This window comes from Homo sapiens, chromosome 13, assembly GCF_000001405.40.
Source record: "Homo sapiens chromosome 13, GRCh38.p14 Primary Assembly".
Classification (NCBI taxonomy): domain Eukaryota; kingdom Metazoa; phylum Chordata; class Mammalia; order Primates; family Hominidae; genus Homo; species Homo sapiens.
This window is the reverse complement of record NC_000013.11, coordinates 31037798-31059635: the sequence shown is the minus strand read 5'-3', so window position 1 is coordinate 31059635 and position 21838 is coordinate 31037798. Positions and strand designations below refer to the sequence as shown.

Genomic DNA, 21838 nt, shown 5'->3' with positions numbered 1-21838 from the left:
ATAGCATGTCAAAAAAATAAAGCATATCTCAAATAATATTTAGTCAATGGGCAAATAAGATCCTGTTTATCAAAAGTCCTTTTGTATTCAACTTTCCAGCAACACAGCCATCATGTGCAGTTGACGAGTATGTATGCTCACAAGTAGTTACTTGCACATACTCCTTCAGCCATCTCTCCGGTAATGAAGAAGTTAATGTCTTACAATTAGTTTCTGAGCATTTTATAATGCTTAACTAATTATAAACTAAAAATAAAATCCCTTGAATTCAATATCTAATGAAAGACCCAGCATCCATTGATCTGCCACCCACCCATCCTCTATCTATCCTCCATTTATTCTCCATCCTTCCCCCATTTATTCATGCATGCATCCATCCATCTATTCACCCATCATCCATGCATCCTCCAACCATTACTCACCTATCCTCCATTCATCCTCCATCTTTTCATCTATCCATCCTTCATCCATCCATCATCCACCCAACTGTCCAAGGTCGACTAGAGATTCAGAAATAAAAGCTCTAATTTCTAGGTTCTATTAATAGTATTGCCCACTCTAGTGAGAGAGACAGATTGTGGACAGAACATTCTGATTCAGGGATAAAATCTCAATCACTGAGGTATGTACAGGACTTCATAGAGACTGCATTGTATAGAGAGGAGAAGACCTCCCTGAGGAGAAGATGCTCAGTGGAGGCCCAGAAGGGCACCACAGTCAGGCAGAGGAGGGCACCAATGCAAAAGCATGGGGCCATGAGAGAAGGGGATGCTTGTTTGATGCTCACCTGCTCCAGAACATGGGGGTTGAGGGGATGTGAAGGCACCATCAGAGATGAACCAGGAAAAGTAAGCAGAGCCCCAGTCCTGAAATGTTTTGTGGGTCACACTGAAGAGTTTAGGTTTTTGAGTGGGAGAGAGACATCAGCACCTCTCACAATCTTTTCTGCTACTCTCTGGTCTGAGGCAGCAGGATCATTAGAGTCATCATCCAATAGAGAAGTCGGAGCAAGTTGTCTACAGCTTAAAACCCTGCAATGGCACCACCCGCCATAAGGTCCAATATCACCTGACCCCCTCATAGCTCCCTGATCTCATTCCCTCCACTCTCAACCCACACCTATCCTGCCCCAGCCACCCCAACCTGTGTGCTGTTTCTTGAAGCCCCCATGTATGTTCTTACCTTAGGTCATATCTCTGACTCTTCTCTCTGCAAGGAATGCCCTTCCCACAGATCCTCAGGTGCCTCCTTTGGTCACCTGTCACTCCCTTACCTCCTTTGGTCATATGTCAGCTTCTCAGTGAGGCCTATCCTGCCTGCCCTACTGAAAACTCCACACACACGTGTGCACACCAGGAATTCTTGATCCCTTACCCTGCTTTATTTTTTCACAGCACTTACCACCTTCAAAATTATTATGATATAATTATGTTTATTGTCTTTCTCCTTCCACTAGTCTGAAGGTCGAGGTCTCTGTTTTGTTCACCGACCCCCAAGCACCTAGGACAAAACCTCACACATGCAGGTGCTCAATCAATGTTTGCTGAATGAACATGAGATGAGATTCATTTTCTCTTTTTACAAAAACCACCCAGTGAAAATATGAAGAGTGATGTGCAAGGATTTGAAATTGGGCCTGGTGAGACCATTTAGAAGTTTGTTGCTGTGATGGTGCTGACAGATCAAATGAAGCAGTTGCCATAGGGAGGGAGAAGAGGGCGGGGAGGGCATGAGCTAGAGTTATTAAGGAGATAGAATTGTCAGGACTTGGTGGCTAAGTACAGGCTTGTGCCTCATAATGATGCTTCAGTCAGTGATGGACAGCATATACGACAGTGGTCTCATAGATTATGCAGCATATATAGAAACGTGACAAATGGCATTTGATAATGGCATCGCAGATGAAGTAGCGGAAATGAATGATATTCAGCAATGGTGCTGGGACACTTGGTTTCCCATATAAAAATATACATAAATAAAAATATGTATGCAATCTAGGTTCATGTGAGTATGCCCTGTGATGTTTGCACAATGATGAAATTGCCTAAAGACGCATTTCTCAGAATGTATCTCCGTGATTAGCAACACACGACTGTCTCTGGATATGGGATATAAGCAGCTAGGATGACTTAGCTGGCATGGACCACAGGGCAGTGGTGGTGCCATTCACAGAGTCGGTGGGGAGAGAAGAGATGCTATTTTTGGTGGATGGCAAAGGCATGATGAGGTTAGTTTCACACACGCTGTCCTTTGGTTCTCCATGGGACAACTGAGTGGATGCAAAATGTCTTTATATATTACAGAGTGCATATTGACTTTACAATTTATTTCTTTTCCTCCTGGACAGCCACTACCAAGCACATATAATATGCCTTGAATATCTACCAAAATAAAAATAACCAACCACAATAATTTACTTCTTATCTTATAGTCATTGGCCTTCCTTCTGGTCCTGTTTGAGACTTAAAAAAAAATCACTGTATAAGGTAAAAACCACATGTCTTTACCCATTGTCTGTTTTCACACTGATATCCGGAGAGTCTTATCCCACAACACCCTCAGATGCTATCTAACGTTTCCTAAAATGATGATGTCCTTAGCTAGTTTACTTCAGACAGAAGCAAATTCACAGCAATCCGATTCTTACGGAAACCACTAGATTTTTTTAAAAAAGAAAATAGCTGGCAAGAATCTGGCTTCTCTGTAGTTTCTCCAAGCAGTAACCTTCTGTCATGACAAACTGTACCCACTTGCTAGAAACTCGGCAACTTGGTTTTCCCGTTCTGCGTGGCTCCCAGATGGCCACCAGCTGGCCGGAGCTATTTCCTGCATTCTAATCCCTTTCTGCATCCTCCTGGTTCTCTTTTTGATCTCCCACGTCTGTCCCCTCCTCCTTCTAACACCCACCATACTATATCCCTCTTTGGAAGCACCTATTTTCTAAGAAAATCTTGAGGAATTTTTTGGAGGCATTACGTCTTTTTTGTTTTGAAACTTTTGGATTGTAAGGAAAACCAGCTGCAGAGCTAGCCAGAGGCCCCAGCTCTGCTCCATCAGCAGAAGGACAGCTGTCTTTGAGGGCGGGACGAGGACCCCCACCTCGCAGGGGTCATGGCAGACTGCTTTGTGACAAGGCCGTTGGGGGACAAATGGACCTGACGTTCTCCAGAAACCAGGCTTCAGTCTTTGAGCTGCACTCCTCTTCCTTCAAAATCGTGGCAAGGAGACGCCTATTCCCCCGGTGTACTCATGGACCAGCGAGAGCCACTGACAGATGCATCACTGGATCCTAACTAAACACTTTGTTCCATCTCCCTGTGACCAGAGTATTGTACCACAATCCCAGTTGTTTGCAATAAATGGCTTGTCTTGATTTTCCAGATTATAGCTAGAAGATTGCCTCAAACGATGAATTGTAGAATGGAGCAGGATGTCTGTGTGTCTGCGTCTTCACCCGGGTTTTTCAGGCCAGTGAGTGTCGGGTCTGCGTCTTGGAGGAAAGGGCTTTGGTGGGGTCTCCATTAAGACTTCTGTACAGGGAGGGTTTCTGTAGAGGAGCATGTCTGACTGGGTGGTGGTAGGAGATTCCCAGGTGAGGGGTGGAGGCTACTGGTATGCCAGGCTAGCGTCAATGCCTGTGTGTGCATAGGGGTCTGTGTGGGTGACTGTGTGTGTGTGCACAGGGGGTCTATGTATGTATGTGCACAGGGGGTCTATGTGTATGTGTGCACACGTGGGGTCTGTGTGGGTGATTGTGTGTGTATGCACAGGGTGTGTGTGTGGGTGACTGTGTGTGTACATGGGTGTGTGTGTGCACAGGGGGTCTGTGTGGGTGACTGTATGTGTGCACAGGAAATCTGTGTGGGCAAGTGTGTGTGTGCACGGGGGATCTGTGTGGGTGACTGTGTGTGACTGTGTGTGTGCACAGGGGGTCTGTGTGGGTGTGTGTGCGCACAGGGGGTCTGTGTGTGTGTGTGCGCACAGGGGGGTCTGTGTGGATGACTGTGTATGCGCACAGGGGGTCTGTGTGTGTGTACACAATGGTTCTGTGTGGGTGACTGTGTGTGTGCACAGGGGGTCTGTGTGGGTGACTATGTGTGTAGGGGGGTCTGTGTGTGTGTGTGCACCGTGGGTCTGTGTGGGTGACTGTGTGCACAGGGGGTCTGTGTGGGTGACTATGTGTGTAGGGGGGTCTGTGTGTGTGCACAGGGGGTCTGTGTGGGTGACTGTGTATGTGTGTAGGGGGGTCTGTGTGTGTGCTTGCACAGGGGGTCTGTGTGGGTAACCGTGTATGTGTGTAGGGGGGTCTGTGTGTGTGCATGCACAGGGGTCTGTGTGGGTGATTATGTGCATGTGTGCACAGTGGGTCAGTGTGGGTGACTGTGTGTGCGCGCACAGGGGGTCTGTGCGTGTGCACAGGGATTTGTGTGGGGGACTGTGTGTGTGCACAGATCTGTGTGGGTGATGATGCGTGTGTGCACAGGGGGTCTCTGTGTGTGTGCACAGGGGATCTGTGTGTGTGTGTGCACGGGGCTCTGTGCGTGTTTGTGCACACAGGGGGTCTCTGTGTGTGTATGCACAGGGTGTGTATGTGGGTGACTGTGTGTGTACACGAGTGTGTGTGCCCAGGTCTGTGTGGGTGACTCTGTGTGTGTGTGCACAGAGAATCTCTGTGGGCAAGTGTGTGTGCACAGGGGGTCTGAGTAGGTGACTGTGTGTGTGTATGGGGGTCTGTGTGTGTATGCATGTGCACAGGGGGTCTGTGTGTGTGATGGTGTATGGGGGTCTGTGCGTGTGCGTGCACAGGGGGTCTGTGTGAGTGACTATGTGCATGTGTGCACAGTGGATCTGTGTGGGTGATTGTGTGTGTGCACAAGGGACCTTTATGGATGACTGCATGTGTGTGCACGGGGGTCTATGTGGATGATTGTGTGTGTGTGCACAAGGAAACTGTGTGGGTGACTGTGTGTGTGTGTGCACAAGGAACCTTTGTGGGTGACTGTGTGTCTGCACAGGGGTCTGTGTGGGTGTCTATGTGTGTGCATGGGGGTCTGTGTGGGTGACTGTGTGTGTGCATGGGGGTCTGTGTGTGTGCGTGCACAGGGGATCTGTGTGGGTGACTGTGTATGTGTGTAGGGGGGTCTGTGTGTGTGTGCATGCACAGGGGGTCTGTGTGGGTGACTGTGTATGTGTGTAGGGGGGTCTGTGTGTGTTGTGCACAGGGGGTCTGTGTGGGTGACTGTGTATGAGTGTAGGGGGTCTGTGTGTGTGTGTGCATGGGGGTCTGTGTGCGTGACTGTGTGTAGGGGGTCTGTGTGTGTGTGTGCACAGGGGGTCTGTGTGGGTGACTTTGTATGTGTGTATGGGGGGTCTGTGTGTGTGTGTGTACAGGGGGTCTGTGTGGGTGACTGTGTATGTGTGTGGGGGGTCTGTGTGTGTGCGTGCACGGGGGTCTGTGTGGGTGATTATGTGCATGTGTGCACAGTGGGTCGGTGTGGGTGACTGTGTGTGCGCACAGGGGGTCTGTGAGTGTGTGTGCATGTGCACAGTGGATCTATTTGGTTGGCTGTGTGTATGTGCCCAGGGGATCTGTATAGGTGACTCCGTGTGTGCACATGGGGTCTGAGTTTGTGTGCAGGTGCATATTTGTGTACCTGGCACTGTGAGGGTATGTGGGGTGTGGTGGAGGCGTGTGGGTTGCTTTGGAGGGGTATCTGTTTTGTGGTGGGTTTTGTGGAGTGACGTGAGGAGATGAGCTGGGGCAAGTGACACAAGAGGATCTGTGGAGGATGTGTTGAGGTGTCTGCCAGGGTGTTAGGTGTACTTTGAGATATTTTGGGGTATGTTTGGGGTACCTGTGAAGGTGTCTGTGTGGGTGTCAGTGGGGATCTTGTGGATGTCTGTGGTGGTGTGTGTGGTTTGTGAGTTGTGTTGGTGAGGGTGATTGTGGGGCATCTGTTGGGTGTCTTTGAAGTGAGTCTAGAGTTTCTATAAAGTGGGTGTGCAGATATTCATGGGATGCCTGTGGGGCATCTGTGAGGGTCTATGCATTTGGGTTTGGGGATTTTTTGTGGGGTGTTTCTGGTTGTCTGTGGGTCTGCCCTGTGGACAAGTGCCTGGGAAGGTGGTCTGTGTACCTGGGAAATGACTTCTGTGGCTTTTCTGTGTGCTCTGCCTGTGGGTAGCTGTGTCTGTGAACTTAGCTCTATGAAAGCAAGAAGCCTATGAGAATTCCGCCAGGGGCAAGCCTGGCCTTGGCGCTTCACTGTCTTAGCGTGTGTCTGGCCCTCCCATTCCTGGCCAAGGCCCACAGCCACCACAGATGACCTGCTGATGCCTCTGCTGAAATCCGTGGCCACTGGCCAACAGCTTGACAAGAGTGTCAGCTCCCTCCCGAGACGAAATCAGAGGTGAGTCACTCCTGATCCCAGCCTGTATGGTCACTTGTTGTGTGGCTCTCACACCAATTCCCAGGGCACCTGCAAACATCCCCGTGGATGCCCCAGCCTGTAAAACCATGCACCTGTCACCTTCAGAACAAATGTGTTGGGGCTGAGAAGGGAGTGCGTCACACCTTTTCCTGACATCTTCCAGATGATGTAAAAGAGCAAGAGGCATTTGAATTTCAATCCGCTGTTCTCCAAAGGGACTCATTCCCTCCCTTTAAGGGAAATGAGACGTTTCAAAAATCACACTTTAAATTTTACCCAGAAACTTAAAATAAACCAAAGATCGTTCTATTTAGAAGAATCCCGGGTCTCCTCATCCACAGACCATAGTGGGTGAATCGGTATTTATATTTATATTCGATGTGCAGCGTTGGCCCTCGGTATGAACAATTAGATCCTTTCAGCATCTCCAGGAGGCAGCTTGCGTTGTTCCCAGGGAAGCTGAAGCTGAAGGAGGTCACACTCCTGCCCAGGCTCCACATGGGCCTGCATCCCAGAGCAGCCTTATCCACATGGGGTGCTCCCAGGCCCCTCCATTCAGGGGTTCTCTAAGGCCTTCGGGGTTTTCTCTCAGCTAGCTCATTCCAGGGGTGCACACAGAGTCCCAAGCAAAAGCAGGAGCTGGCAAGGAGGCTGGCAAGTGAGCTTCTCGTGATCCTGAGCAGTACAGCTGCACTTGCCTTGAGGGCAGCGAGATGCTATTTTAAGCCGCCCTTGAACTGCCATCACAAAGTGATTTTAGCCAGTCTTGCCTTTTTGTTTGAAAAAGGTATTATTTTGCTAACTTCAAAGCCAAAATCCAAGGATGTTTATTCCTTACCCTTTCCTATTCATTTCAGGAAAACGCCTCTAGTTTCTAAGAAGCACACAGGGAGCCACTTCTTTACCGCTAGCTCCTGCAGGATCTGTGGGATCCTGCAGGTGCTGGTTTGCCTCCTGAGCCCTGTCCTAAGGACACTCTGCACATCGCCTCCTGGTGAGTGAGCTGGGGGACTTCTTCTGGATACATCTGAATCACTTCATTCGCACCTCAAGGCTCTCTGGGAGGAAAGCTGGTGCAGGAACTAGTGTCTTAGGATTATGAGGGAGGACGTGGAGGCAGAGGTGAGGACGGAGCTAAAGCCAAGCTGCAGGGAGCCTTTGGGCAGGAAGCGGAGCTTCGGGGTCCTAGGCATGTCCTCTCACTCTCTCTCATTGCCCCTAGCAATGAAGAGGTGCGTGTCTCCGAGATACGAGGTGCTCTTCTCTCTAGCAATGTAAGATCTGTTGAAAAGATGAGACATATCTACAAAACCTGACCATGAGTGGGTGACTGAGAAAGGCCTTGGGAGGTGCCGAGAAGGAGCATTACAGAAGGAGGCTGTGTCCTGTGATCAGGGAGATTTTTTGAAAGCAAGGGGATTAGATCTGAGCACCAAAGATGGGAGAGGAATTTGAAAAGCTGGGATGGAGGGAAGCACACATTCTCGTTGCAAAGTTTGTAAGACAAGATGCTGAGGAAGGTAAGCACACGCAGGCTCTGAAGAGAGCCCACTCCACCGCCCATGAGGAGGCAGATTCGGCAGGCTGGGCTGTGGCAGAGAGGAGTGGAAAGAAGGTAGGGGCCGGGTGCGGTGGCTCATGCCTATAATCACAGCACTTTGGGAGCCCAAGCCAGGAGGATTGTTTGAGGCTAGGAGTTTGAGACCAGCCTGTGCAACATAGTGAGACCCTGTCTCTACCAAAAAAAAAAAAAAAAAAAAAAAAGTAATTAGCCAGGAACAGTGTCATTTACCTGTAGTCCCAGCTACTCGAGAAGCTGAGCCCAGGAGTTCAAAGCTATAGTGAGTTATGATGGTGCCACTGCACTCCACATTCCAGTCTGGGTGAGAGAGCTAGATCCTGTCTGAAAAAAAAAAAAAGGAGAAAGAAATAAAACAAAAGGGAGAGGCAACAGGAAAAGAGAATAAGAGAATTCTCTGATGACAAAGGGGTTTTCACATCATCAGCAAAAATTCCCAGGGGACATATATTGTATTGTTTCCTTGATACTTTATTTTTTAGGTTATGTGGCAAAGACTGGCAAATTATTTATCAAACCCATTTCCCTTTCTGTGCTGTTCAACTTCCCCAGCTTCTGTGGCAATTATGGTGGCCATGTGACTGACTTCTGGAGTATGAGCAGAAGTGACACACAGCACTGAAGGCATAGCACATAAAATCACCCTGAATGACCACCCACTCCATCTCTTCCCCAGAATGCTGCCCGCTGCAGAGGACCCAAAGCCCTAGGGGGGAGCCTGGGTCCCCGAGTCACCCACCAAATGCATGCAAGGAGCTGTTACATAAGCAGAAAGTGAATTTCTATTGTGAGAAGCCACTAAACTTGGGAGTTATTCATTATAGCAGTTTGCCTGCCCTGACTAATACAGACTGATTCATACTAATATGTTATATCTGATTCTCTTAACATTTTATGTTTAGCTGAAATGTTCATCCTGACATTTGCTATGACTAGTTTAGGTTTCATTCCTCTATCCCCTGAACCAGGCAGAATGCTCTGTTGCACTAAATGCACCAACTCTGGAGGTCCACAATGGTATTGCACCATGAGAGAAGAATATCGGAGCAAAGCTGGGAAATGGACACACCAGGGGGAGCGAATGTAATGTTACAATCCGAGAAAATTAGAAAGGAGAAGAAAAAGCAAATCCCAATCCTAAACCATCTTGAGAACATTTGCTAGTTTATTCCTTTACCCCATGGCAACAGTTACATAAAGTGATTATGTCCTTGCTTTAAAAAAGTGCTATTCCTCTTCTTTCAAAATTATATTTAAACTTCAATATTTACCTTAATAGTTCACTTACAGATGGCAGAAGCAGAACGGTCACACATCCCTGCAACACAATTTAAAAAACAAAAGAAAAATAAATTTCTTGCAGAAGTAAAAACACAACATATTCCATTTATTTCCCACACACTAAAATCTTGTCCTCTCTCAGTAGAAACAACAAGCAATATTTTTCTGTGTAAAAGGGAGTGGAGAGTTTTCCAGTCTTCTCTGTTTCTCCCCAGACAGATGGGCTTTCACATTCAAGAGACACTGGAGCTGCCATAACCTTGAGTGGACATGAGCTTGGCCAGATTGCACTGTCCAAATGCCAGGACCCAGGGCCCCGGGGAGGTCTCTGGTGCATGCGGCAGTGCTCTTGGAGGATCTTGATCACTCCAGCGCATTCCTTGCAGCAATCTGCACTTGGAACAGCGTTTGATATGGAAGGAAACACTAGTATAATATCAAGTTGTGTATAATTGCAAAACTTGCTGTCTCGGATGTGAAATAAATTCGGCTAATTTGTTGGTAGGAGCTATCATAGTATTTTTTTGGTATCAATGTCACTGGAGACTATATCCCTGAATAAGTGCCAGGCACTGGCTCTGAACTAACTAAATGCTTTGCATGTGTTATTTCATTAAATCCTCACAATAATCCTGTGGAGTCAGTAATTTTATGATTTCCATTTTACAGGTGAGGAGACTGAGGCAGAAAGAGGTTGAATGATGTGCCCAAGGGAACAGAAGTCATGAGTAGCAGAGCTAGGCTTGCTAAACCTCGTGTGGTCTTCAAGCTCAGGTCCATCAGCACTGGAACAAGCTATGGTGTTAGTTGAGTTCACAGTAGGTCATGTCATTTTCCTGCCAAATTATCGCAGTCTGGGTACAAATAAAATCTCAGCCTGCTGCTTTTTTTTTTTTTAACCTCAGTATGACATACACCAAAAATTCTGTGTCAAGTGTGTCTTATACAAGATTTTTCCAGTGCATAATCTATTAATGGGAATTGCATCAGCATCATTGGGTTCTGTCACTTTTTCATGCCATTATAGCACCATTTAGAAGCTCATTTAATTTCACAAAGTCAGCATATACTGTTCCCTTCCCTCCATGTCTCTCTTCCTTAGCTAACGTGTCATTTTCTCACTCCACACTCCCTCATTAGAGCCCGGCAATCTGACTTCTCTCCCTGATCCTCCACTGACATTTTTCTCACCACTAGTTCCATTTCTAATAAATCGCATGGGGTTTTCTCAGTCTCTCTTCTTCCTCGAGCTCCCTGGATGTTCAGCTGCTAATCACCTCTTCCCTCCAGACATCCCTTCTCCCTTGGCTTCTGCTGGCTCCTTTCCTCTCTGTTACCCCAACACTTCCTCCCTCCAGTGCTCTTCGAGTCTTACTGCTGAGCAGTCTTCCCTAAGCCAATGATATTCATGACTACATCTCTTCCTGAATCCCAAACCGAGACTTGCAGCTTCCAACAGGACCCTTGCACTTGGGGGACCTTGGCTGTTCTAAAGCCATCTCACTCTCAACATACACAGCATCAAACCTTAGGCCTTAGCTTGGCCTGCCAGGAAGCTGAGCAGCTCCATTTGCTTGCAGCGCCCTCCATTGTCTTGGTATGCTGGCACTGGGATCTTATGCTTGGAGCTCGATAAGAATGATTGGAATGTATCTAGCCTAGTGTCTGGCATGGAAAAGGTGCTCTGTAAAACCATTTCCTCTTTCCTTTTCCTTCTCTCTCCTGCCCAGTGTTCATGGAGTCACCAGGTCTGTTGAGCATGGAAGGAAATGCCAGCTTTATTCCATTCCATCCACCCCACTGCCACTCCACTGACCCCTCATCCGTCAGCCTGGAATAGTATCTAGCCTTTGAGCCCATCTCCCAGCCCACATTTCTCCAGGGAACCACCCTGTTCACTGACACCAGGTAAATCTTTCCAACCCATGGCTATCACTCAGCTTGACTTTCAAAGCCTTCCATGCATGGGGCCTGTCATTCATTCAACATTTCCACCCCCCCACACAAAAATGAGAGCTCTTTCCTTTAGTCCACCCAGTGGCCCCACCTCTTCTCTGCCTGCCATCTCTGTGTCTTGCTCACATTGTTCCATTTATCAGATACACTTTCCCTCCCCAGACTTTGCTTCTTCAGGATCAAGCTGACCCATAAAGATGGTCTTATGTACTCAGTCCAAAATGTTCTTTATTTCCTCTGAATTCCTCTAGCATTTACAGTCAAGATCCCACACCCTCTGACTACCACTAATAGAATACACTGGGTTCTTACTGTTGTAAAGACTGATTCAATCACTCCTGAAAATAACTTGGAGAGAGATATGTCCACCTGTTCTTGCCAGTGAGGAAACTGAGGCTCACAAGGTGAACACCCCAGAATTGCATCTGGGATTTGGTTCCAAAGACCACATCCTCACTCCTCACTGTGCTAGATTCTCCTGTATTTGTTTCTTTTCGTCTCCTGATAGGATTTAATGGCACAGATCATTTATTGTGCTATTTTGTTGCTTTTCCAATGGGCCTAGCTAAGGACTGAGAACATGATATTCCTTTGATAAACACTCACTGATTTTGGCTTCTGACTTCCAGACTTAATAATGTTGTGACCCCCAAAAGAGGCAGGCAATTTATGTAAGCAGTGGTCACCAAAATTATTTGCCCTGATAAATAACATAACAATCAGCACCAGGCCAAAGTGACCAGTGATATCCAGATGACAAACTGCTTAACCTCGGCTGTCTCCTTCCTTTTCCTCCTTAAAAATAAGAAAACCAAGGTAAAATGCCTAAGAGCTCATTGCTATTCTGAAATCATTTTGCTTCCAACTCTTATTTAAATCATCTCAGGGGTTTTGTTGACATTATCTGCCAAAGATTGTAATTCATCTTTCCAAAAAGGAGAGAAGCATCAACCCATCAAACAATGCCCTTCCTTCTACAGAGAGCTGAGGTCTGAGTTTCCCTCCCGACTGCTGGGGCAAGTGCTCGCTACCAGGCCAGCTGCTTGCGCAGGGCCCCTGGATGCATTTCTAAAGGGTCATATTTACAGTGTCGGATGGCTGGGCACTGTGGAGCTTAATGGGATTCTTAATAAAGGCAGCCTTCATTAAGACGGGAGTACAGGCAAGGTGCCCTTGCGTTTGAGGAAAGGACGACCCAGTGCAAGACGGATGCTCCCCCTTGGCTTGGAAATCACGCGGGTCAAGTGCCTTGTCATGCATTAACAGCCTTTTAAGTTCCTAGGCAGATTAAGAGGAGCGGTGCAGATAAATGAAAGAAGAGGAATCATGTGATCTGTCTTGGTAGCATAAACATTGAGACACAGCAGCTGCATTTAAACACAGCAATTTGCTAAACGAGTGGTTGGCGACTTTCCAGATGGCCAATGTGACACAGGGCTTGGATGAATCCTTTATTCAATCATGCATCTGTCTAGACAGAGACATTGAAGGCCAGGTTATAGCCACTGCAGGAGTGGCAGCAGCAGCAGCAGCAGCTTTGAAAGCCTTATATAAAACATGCTCGGTATTGCCCGTGAGGCAGCTTGGCCACAGATCAGCTGGAGAGGGTGCGGCGGCATGGTGTGCGTGGAGCCTCCAGGAAAGCCGTCTTCTCAGCTGAATGACGGCCAGCTTGGAACAGGGGCTCTTTCTCTGCCCGTCTTCCTACTGTGTCACTTCACACACCTACCCGAAGAGATGGGGGTGGGTGATCTTAGGGGAATAAGGCAGCAGTATCAGTGTGGAAAGCAGCAATACTGGTTGTGTTCTATGTCCCTTTTTTAAAAATGCGCACATTAAAGTCATTTCAAATGTGTTTTATCTTGAATTTCTAGTTGATTTAAAAATTCCCCAAGTAGATAAAAATGGATGCTTAGCTTTCAGCCATGACCCTACTTTGCCTTCCCTTTTCCCTACTCCTAGCATTCAGTTCAGTCTTGGATTGAGGACTTTGCTAGAGATGATATCCTGAAGTTAGTGGCTGTAGAGGCTAGGGCGTAGACAAGATGACCACTCAGCCCCAGTTCAACTGACTGATTTAAACCAAGTCAGGTAAACTGGAGGCACCCGATGGGCCTTTGGCGTGACTGATAAAAACAGGCAGCCAGAGGGCTTCCCTGGGCTGCAATGGGGACTTACGGGAAATGCAGCTCTACTGATTGGTTTCCCTCTGGTAAGTTGTATCTCCAAGCCTATTTTATTTTTATTCTTTTATTAAGAAGTTTCCATGGGCAAGGGTTTCACTGTGTTCAACAGCCATTCGAGTGTTGTTACCGGAACGTTCTAAGCGTTTAGTAAGCAGCTCTGCCCCACCCCACCCCTGGAACCCTCAGGGCCAGCCACGATTCTTCGCCCTCCACACGGAGCAGCAGCTTCCGTTTACTTCTGACTCACAAGGAGCACTTTAACCTGATGAATCACCAGCAGCACTTCCTGTGACATTCTGGGGAAAACTACAGTTTGCTTAGGAAGGACTCTGAAGCACTTCACTTGCTGTGGTGTTTGATCTGCAATGGGGTGGAAAAATTTCAGTTCTGCTCTGTGTGGACACACCAAAGCCTTCTCACCAACTCTTGGAAGTTTCCTATCATCAGGGCTAGGTCTACTCCATAGTCAGCCTGAAATGAATGGATTAAATGAACAAGGCTGTCCCCGGGAGGATACAGCATATCCCCCTCACTGATCTCACCCAGGATGCCATTCCTTTTGTAACTGTTCTGGGCTTAGTTTACTCATCTGAACCACAAAGCACAGATAATTACCTAAGGGATGATGTTCTCAATTCTCCCAAAGGTGGTACCTCACCAGCGCCATTCTTCAGGTATAGGTAAGAAACAAATCCATACATACAAGAAATGCTTTAGGGTGTGGTCGGCCTAGACCTTATCAATGGAGGGCTTTGATAGTAAGAGTCCAGGCAAGGGTAAGGGAGTTGCCCTACTACCTAAGTTATGCCACAAGGTGAGAACAATGAGCTCTGGAACAGTTCCAAATTCGTTCAAGTCCTGGCAATGAGAAAACAGAAAGGGTAGAAAAGTCAGTGTTTTAACCTTCTACAGAAACAGTTCTCTTAGTATGTCAAATGTAATGCAGGTGAATATTATCGAAAGATCTTCAACTGCATGATCTAGGGCCAGGTATTACAAATCTAAAGCTGACCCAAGGACAGTCACGCACCAAAACAGCCTTTGTGGCATGTGGTGACAAACCAAGTTCCCCTGGCTGTTGTCAGCGTATTGCAGAGGTGGCTTTCCTTATGCTGAGTATGACTGGGCCCCTGATTGCCAGGATACATGGCAATTAAGAAGCATGCAAATTGTGAAAACCTTGAAAACCAAAAGGTGATTAGGTGACAGATTAGGTGATAAGGCAGGCAGTCAGTGCTTCTGCTTTATAAATAAACTCGTTTTTTCTCTTACACAAAACCTGAGGCTATGCTAGATGCCAACATGAGCTCTTTAATGCGACGTTCACGTTAAGCATTTTTATAACCTAATGAAAATTTGATTTTTAAAATGAGCATCAAATGAGGCCTGAAATACTGTTTGAAAATGTCACGACTTTTTAACATTTAAATATAGCTTTACACAGAGTCACCCTTGATTGACATTTTATTCCATTTCAGGGCTGTTAATTAAGAACCGTAGACACTAGCAACAAAGATTAAAGCAGCAGAGGCCGAAAACTTACTGAAATAAAATGCAGCTCTGATTTGCTCAGAGCCCACATCAAAGCGGAAGCACGGATCCTGGCTCATGCACATCTGGTCCACTAGGGGGCAGTGAATGATCGCGCCTCCAGCGGGAGGGCTTGTTCTACATCCACCTGAAGTGTGCAGGCCTTTCACACAAGTGAGATGCGCTGCCGCCAAGGCAGGTGTAGGGACTAGCCAGTTATTGCTACTAGCATAATATGCCAGAAGGATGAAGTGAAATTATCGTTTGAAAAACTGAACAATGAAAAAAGTTCATTTTTACCAATAAATTTGCATGGTAAGGAACAGGTGGTACCGCTGTACCTGCCCGGGTCCTGTTCCCTGGCTCCTGGTGGAGGGCAGTGACCAGGCTGGGCTGCACCCAGAAGGGCAGCCACGGAGAGGGGTAGAGCCAGGGAGCCCCGTTTACGCAGTTGCTGGGGCTAGCAACCACCGGGCACGAGTGACCAAGGCGGGCTTCCCCTACTCATCCTGTCCCTGTGCCGGGGTCCATTTGGGGGAGTCCCAGGCCTGGAAGCCGAACAGCACACATCCAGGGGCACCATCCGAGCCGTAGGCTGTGTGGATGCCCCCTGGAGCCGGGCAGTTCCCAGATCATCCCCGCTCCCACCACGTGGGGGCCCTGTAGAGAGAAAGGCAACACCGGAGCAAAATTAGGAATTGGGGCCAGCTGGATTTCAATGTCTGCGTGTTCCCTTCTCATTCTTCTATCCCCTCCTTGATTCAAGAATCTGGTGCCCTCCTGTCTTTGTCCAGTCCAAACCTGTTCTTCTAGGATATCCAGTCATTCACCTTCCACTGTGTTTCCTTCACCACCTCCCAAGGGAATTTGCATTTAAGCCTATTTATTTATTTTTTGAGACAAGGTCTCCCTCTGTCACCCAGGCTGGAGTGCATTGGAGCAATCATAGCTCACCGCAGCCTCAAACTCCTGGGCTTAAGCGATCCTCCCACCTCAGTCTTCTGAGTAGCTAGTATTACAGGCGCATGCCACCATGCCTGGCTAATTTTCTATTTTTTATTTTTTGTAGAGGCGGAGTCTTGCTAGGTTGCCCAGGCTGGTCTTGAACTCCTGGCCTCAAGCAATCCTCCTACCTCAGCCTCCCAAAACTCTGTGTTTACAGGCATGAGCCACCTTGATCGGCAAGACTTATTTCTAATTCTGAAGCAAAATACAGAGAAAAGGTTTCTCCCTCCTGGCCCTGATTAACAAGAATCTCCCCTGAAAATGGGAAGGAAACCAGATGTGCCATTTCCCCCAGCACTCTGACTTCAGTGATTTTAGAGTGACTTCTGTGTTCCCAGACCCATTTCTTCACATAGTCACCTGGAACATCTCTTTGTTTCCTCGAGAGTCAGTGAAGCCTCGTGGGCAGGTGCAGAGGCTATGCAGATCTGCTTGGGTTCAAATCCCAGCTCTGCCACCTCCTAGGGGCATAGAACCTTGGGCCAACTGCATAGCTGCTATGAGCCTCCATTTCCCCATTGTCACAAATGGCATGGTCATAACCACCTCGTGGGGATGTCATGAGGACTGAACGGAAAGCACTGAAAAGAGCAGAAGGCAGACAAACCAGCACTCGCACCTGCTCCCTCGGCATGGCTTGCTCACCAACGCCGCATTTCCTTTTCCGCTTCTCTCTTCGTTTTGCCTCCGCTTGAGACACAGATGCTCCTGTCCTCGTCCCTCCCCCTCACTTCTCCCTGAAAGGATGGCAGATGGTCTTCTGGCCCCTGACTCAGCGCCTTCCACTCTCCTTCCACCCTCCACACCTACCTGGCCATTGCTGTAGAGAATCAGGTACTTGTCAGGATCCACAGAACTAAAGCAAAGAATGCAAAAGCAAAACCTCATCTTCAGACATTAAGAATGACAGACTCGTTGTGGTGTGTGTGTGTGTGTGGTGTGTGTGTGTGTATGTGTGGTGTGGTGTGTGTGTGTGTGTGGTGGGGAATCCGACACATGTCCTCTGTGTCAGGCCTGTGTTCTATTTGTAGAACAGTCTTGGAAATAGACACTTGCTTACTTCGCCTGGATCAGGAGTGATTTCAGATTCTCTTCATTTAATCGTCTACTTCCACTGTGCAGATTTATAATTAAAATAAGAAACTTATTTATAAAACCAGAGTGGGAGCCGAGAGATGGCTGCAAGGAGATGCTTCTGCTGTTGAGGCCTCTGTGCAGTAGGCTCTAAGTTACACTGGGTGGCCTGGAAGGAGTTGCAGGGACCTCCCAGACATAGCCACAGATCTCTCACATCAGAGGGAAGAGACAGGGCTATTGGCTCCCTAAACCCAGCATATGAGGTGGAGAGTGAGGACATTTCTCTCAGAGAGAGGCTGGGTTTGCATGAGGAATTTCTGTGACCCTTTGCTTTGGGTAGGCACTTTGAGTTTGGGTGCCACTGGCTGGTGCCAGGACCAGGGTAGGCAAGCAGCTCCCCTCAATGGAGGAAGTCTGAAGTATGGGTGGGGCTGGCAGGAGGGTGGAGACGACCGCAGGCGGAGGGGACAAGGAGGCCAGGAAAGAGAAGAAGGAGTGGGAGGAGTGGAGAATGAAATGGCAAGACACAAGTGGTGTGACCTTTCCCAGTGACCCCACAAACCTTCACTGATGTCTATGAAAATCACAAAATGATTTGTGATGGTGCAGTTGGACCTCTTGTCAAAAGCCAGTGAAGGGGCTGAATGGATGCAAGAGGTGGAGCCCGTGCCAAACTCTGGAAATTAACATTGCCGTGGTAAGGCTTTGACGTTGTGTGATGTTGTGTAGCTACATTAAATTTAACACGTAATCCGTCAGTTTATATGGGACTTATTTGTTGTGTTTTTATTTCCAAAGACAGAGGAATCTTCTAGAAATATTTCTTTCTTGTGTCAGTATGAGAAATCTGTATGTCTTTTAAGCACATGAGTTATTATTCTCTCACAGACACTCTGAAGCCTACATTGGATGTTGTTTCCTTCTTTTTTCTGGGGTTATGGGAGCTCAAAGGGAAATGTGTTGTTCATTTCTAAAAAGTGTTTAGGGTATTATGAAATATGTTTTCTTCATTGACTTCATCTTCATATATATGTGTGTGTGTTTATATAAATATATATATATATATATATATATAGGCTTCACCTCCATTCATAAATGTGTGTGTACATGTAATCTTTTATTTTATTCTATATAAACTGCTGGAAGTATTCCAAAATCCTTTTTTAGACAGTGTTGTTATTAATAAGCAACAACATAAATAAATACATTTTACCTGTCCTGGAAGTTCTGACACTTTAATCATTTGCTGTACAGAAATATTCCTCAAGTTTTGTTGTAGTCAAATCTGCCCTGACTTCTGGCTTTAGAGTTCTGCTTTTGCAAAGGACTTTCATCACTCATGTTGTTATGAAGATATTCTCCTGTATTTTCTCCTTCTATATAGTTATAAAATATTGAGATCTTTATTCTAGCTGGAATTTATTTTGATACATACTATGGTATAGGGACTTAACTGTTCCCTAAATAAATAACCAACAGTTATTTGTTAGACTGTTTCCTCCCTAATTTGAAATGTCAGTTTTGTCAAATATTTTTTTCAATGTAAACAGGTGTGTCACTGACCTGCTTGTCTCTTCTTTGCCCCAGTATTTCACTGCTTTTATTGACTGTAACTTAACAGCATGGTTTACTATCTATTGTTCAAGTCCTTCTTCAATTTAAAACAATTCTTTTAGACATAGGGTCTTGTTCTGTTGCACAGGCTGGAGTGCAGTGATGCCATCACAGCTCACTGCACCCTCGCACTCCTGGTCTTGAGCGATCCTCCCATCTCAGTCTCCAGAGTAGCTGGGACCACAGGCGCATGCCATCGCACACAGCTATTTTTTTATTATTATTATTTTTAGTGGAGATAGGGTCTCTCTATGTTGCCCACGCTGGTCTTGAACTCTTGGGCTCAAAGGATTCTCCCACCTCAGCTTCCCAAGGTGCTGGGATTACAGGTGTGAGCCACTGCACTCCATCTCTCTCTCATTCCTTTTCAACAGTTTCTTGGCCGTTATTGCATATTTACCTTTCCAGATGAACTTTAGAATCAACTTGTTAAGCTCCAAAGCAATCTCACAGAGATTTTGATGAAAATTTCATTGAATTTGGCATTTAATTTTGGGATATCTTCCCAATATCCAGTTTACTCATCCAGGAACATAGATACTTTCTATATATTTGGGCTTTCTCTCATGTCTTTAGAAAGGTTGTTATTAAGATTATTTCTGAGTGTATTTAATAATCTGCCAGTCAATTTCTTCTTCAAACAGAGAGGAAGTGGGAAAGATAGTAAAAAGTCAAGTTCCCTGAGGCCAAGAAGTTTCATCATGAAGCCATATTCATCTGCAAAGATTTGACAACCTTTTTCCCAGCAAAGACCAGTTCAGTCCACGTAGGATATAGAAATTATTAGCTAAGAAGGTCTGGACAGTTGAGTAGGTTACAAAAACAAACAAACAAATACGTGTTCTTCAAGAAGCAAAGATTTGAGGCTCTCTGACAAGCTATCGAAAAGACCTGTTAGGACCAAATTTTTTTCTCTGTATCTCACATTTTTACAGATTTTCAACAGAGAATTTAGCTCCTTGCACACCATTCTTCTCCTCAACACTACTCTGTTCATAATTCTTGGTGATTTTAAAAGCCATTGTAGATAATCCTTCCAGTTTACCGGTTTCTCATGTCTTTCACTTTATATCTCCCAATGGTCTTGTCTCCCACCCAACTGCAGCCACTCACTGCCATGGTCACACTTGTAGTTTTTGCCAATAGTGTAACGGGAACCCCTCCAGAATCTCCATTTCGAACATTCTACCTCCAATATTTCCTCCAATAATTCTACCTCCAATATCCTCCACACTCCATCTCCAGCACTGGAACTTTCAATCCCCTGGTCCTAACACATGCTTGCTATCCCTGGCTCTCTCCTGCCTTATTTTCCTTCTTACTTGGCTTAAACTCCATGGCCAATTATAACCACTTCCTCGTGTCCACCCTCAACTCCCTTGCTTTCTCTCCTTTTTTGCTCTCATTTGGCAAAACATCACCCCTGCTTAACTCTGACTTTCCACCTACCTCATGCCCGAATTCATGTGAAAATGTGGTCGGAGAAAAACCTCAGAACTGTGCTGAGTGGTATGACTTTAAATTCGTGACCACAAACCACAAATAGGTTCTCACTGTTTCCTGGCAGCCGTCTGTCCTCTCCCACTTTCCAAGACCATTTCACTTCCTCCTTTCTCTGCAAGTCTCCAACACCTGTTCCCCAGTTCCCATTCTCAGATGAGACCTTGCTTCCTAAGTCATCACAAAACCCAAGGCCCTCAAAAGAGAAGCTGCACCAGGCCCCACCACAGAGGCACACATGCCTGCACCTGGACCGCTGCTCAGCCTTCCCTGGGGTCCCTCCAGGTGAGCAGCCCTGCTCCTTCCTGAGGCCAGCCCTCCACTGTGCATGGGAGCACAGCCCTCTTGCCTACCCAAGAAATACCTGTTTGGCGTTTATCCCCTTACTCTCCTGCATCCTTGATTTTCCAGTTTTTACCAGATCTTCCCATCAGCACATAAGCATGCTGTATTCCTGCCACTGGGGAAAAGAGAAAGGCTGGGGGCGGTGGCTCATGCCTATAATGCCAGAACTTCAGGAGGCAGAGATGGAACAATCTCTTGAGCCCAGGAGTTTGAGACCAGCCTGGGCAACATAGCTAGACTGCATCTCAACAAAAACAACAAAAATAAGAAAATTAGCTGGGTGTTGTGGCACACACCTGTAGTCCCAGCTACTCCGGAGGTTGAGGTGGGAGGATCACTTGAGCCCAGTAGGTAGAGGCTGCAGTGAATCGTGATTATACCACTGCACTGCAGCCTGGGTGACAGTGAGACCCTGTCTCAATAAAGAAAGAAGAAAGAAAGAGAAAAAGAAAGAGAGAAAGGAAGGAAGGAAGGGAGGAAGGAAAGAAAAAAGAATTTGTCTTGACCTTGACCCCCTTCCCATCCAACTATCAGGGCATTTCTCTCTGTCTTTTTTTTTTTTTTTTCCTATGGCAAAGTCACTTGAGAAAGAGGTTCATGCTGCTGTCTCCTTTCTCCCTTCCCTCTGTTTTCTTGACAGTATTCTCAGCAAGCTTTGTCCCCGCCTTCTGCAAAAGCTGTCTTGCTGGTCAGCAGTGACATCCATGCTGCTAAAGCCAGTGGAAATGCTGGGCCTCATCTTCCTAGAAGCTGCACTTGACCATGGCCTCCCCAGGCTCTCGTGCCCGCGTTCAGCCCTCACCACCTACCTGTAAGCCGTTGGCGAATACATTCATTAGCACATGGCTTTCACTTCCTCCCTCCATGCTAACGGCTCCTACTGTCCCAGGTCACATGCGCTGACCATCCTGGATGTCTAATGCCCTTCCCTGGCCTTTCTTTCCTCATAGCACTCACCATGTCCTACCTTCCTGTGTGACCCTATGTTACGAGAATGGCTTGTTGTTTACGGCAGGTTCCACTGGGGCAGGGGTTCTTGTCTACTTTCTTTGTGAACATATCCCAAGTGCCCAGAACAGTGCTGGCCCCATCACAGGCTACGTGGATCTCTGTTGTTGATGTGTTTGCTCACTTCCAGGTTGGCCATGCAAGCTCCTTGCACACACCAGCTGCGTCCCACCTGTGTGCCTCTTGGACGTGCCTGGAAGCTCTGTAGTGCATCGCTGCTCTCCCCCAGTCCTACCTCGGTGCTGCCCAGAGAGCTCCGCCTGGTCCCCATTCACCTGCTATCTCGTTCCTCCCATGCCACATTTTTTCTCCTTAGCCCTCACTCT

The 21838-nt window shown here is 46.9% G+C and overlaps 2 long non-coding RNA genes across 2 annotated transcripts, besides 4 other annotated features; one reads left to right on the top strand and one right to left on the bottom strand.

Moving 5' to 3' along the window:
• Nucleotides 1-3323: 3323 nt before the first annotated feature.
• On the top strand, nucleotides 3324-7976 carry LOC102723392 (uncharacterized). The gene is made up of 3 exons (XR_429233.4): nucleotides 3324-3471; nucleotides 6186-6410; nucleotides 7289-7976. It is a non-coding gene; the product is annotated as an uncharacterized LOC102723392 (long non-coding RNA).
• Nucleotides 7230-7524: a silencer, noted in NCBI's record as "tiled region #1526; HepG2 Repressive non-DNase unmatched - State 13:Ctcf". NCBI's record gives its function as "represses a minimal TATA promoter and a strong SV40 promoter by Sharpr-MPRA in HepG2 cells {active_cell/tissue: HepG2}" and the evidence as "EXISTENCE:reporter gene assay evidence [ECO:0000049][PMID:27701403]".
• Nucleotides 12319-12848: an enhancer, noted in NCBI's record as "H3K4me1 hESC enhancer chr13:31620925-31621454 (GRCh37/hg19 assembly coordinates)". NCBI's record gives its function as "activates a minimal SCP1, AML or CMV promoter by ChIP-STARR-seq in naive H9 embryonic stem cells {active_cell/tissue: H9 hESC(naive)}" and the evidence as "EXISTENCE:reporter gene assay evidence [ECO:0000049][PMID:30033119]".
• Nucleotides 12686-13534, bottom strand: LOC124903147 (uncharacterized). The gene is made up of 2 exons (XR_007063744.1): nucleotides 13426-13534; nucleotides 12686-12972 (listed from the first exon to the last, which is right to left on the bottom strand). It is a non-coding gene; the product is annotated as an uncharacterized LOC124903147 (long non-coding RNA).
• Nucleotides 13149-14348: an enhancer, noted in NCBI's record as "P300/CBP strongly-dependent group 1 enhancer chr13:31619425-31620624 (GRCh37/hg19 assembly coordinates)". NCBI's record gives its function as "activates an origin of replication core promoter dependent on BRD2, BRD4, P300/CBP, MED14 and CDK7 cofactors, with strong dependence on P300/CBP, by STARR-seq in HCT116 cells {active_cell/tissue: HCT116}" and the evidence as "EXISTENCE:reporter gene assay evidence [ECO:0000049][PMID:35650434]".
• Nucleotides 20178-20277: an enhancer, noted in NCBI's record as "active region_7548". NCBI's record gives its function as "activates an Ori minimal core promoter by ATAC-STARR-seq in GM12878 lymphoblastoid cells {active_cell/tissue: GM12878}" and the evidence as "EXISTENCE:reporter gene assay evidence [ECO:0000049][PMID:35858748]".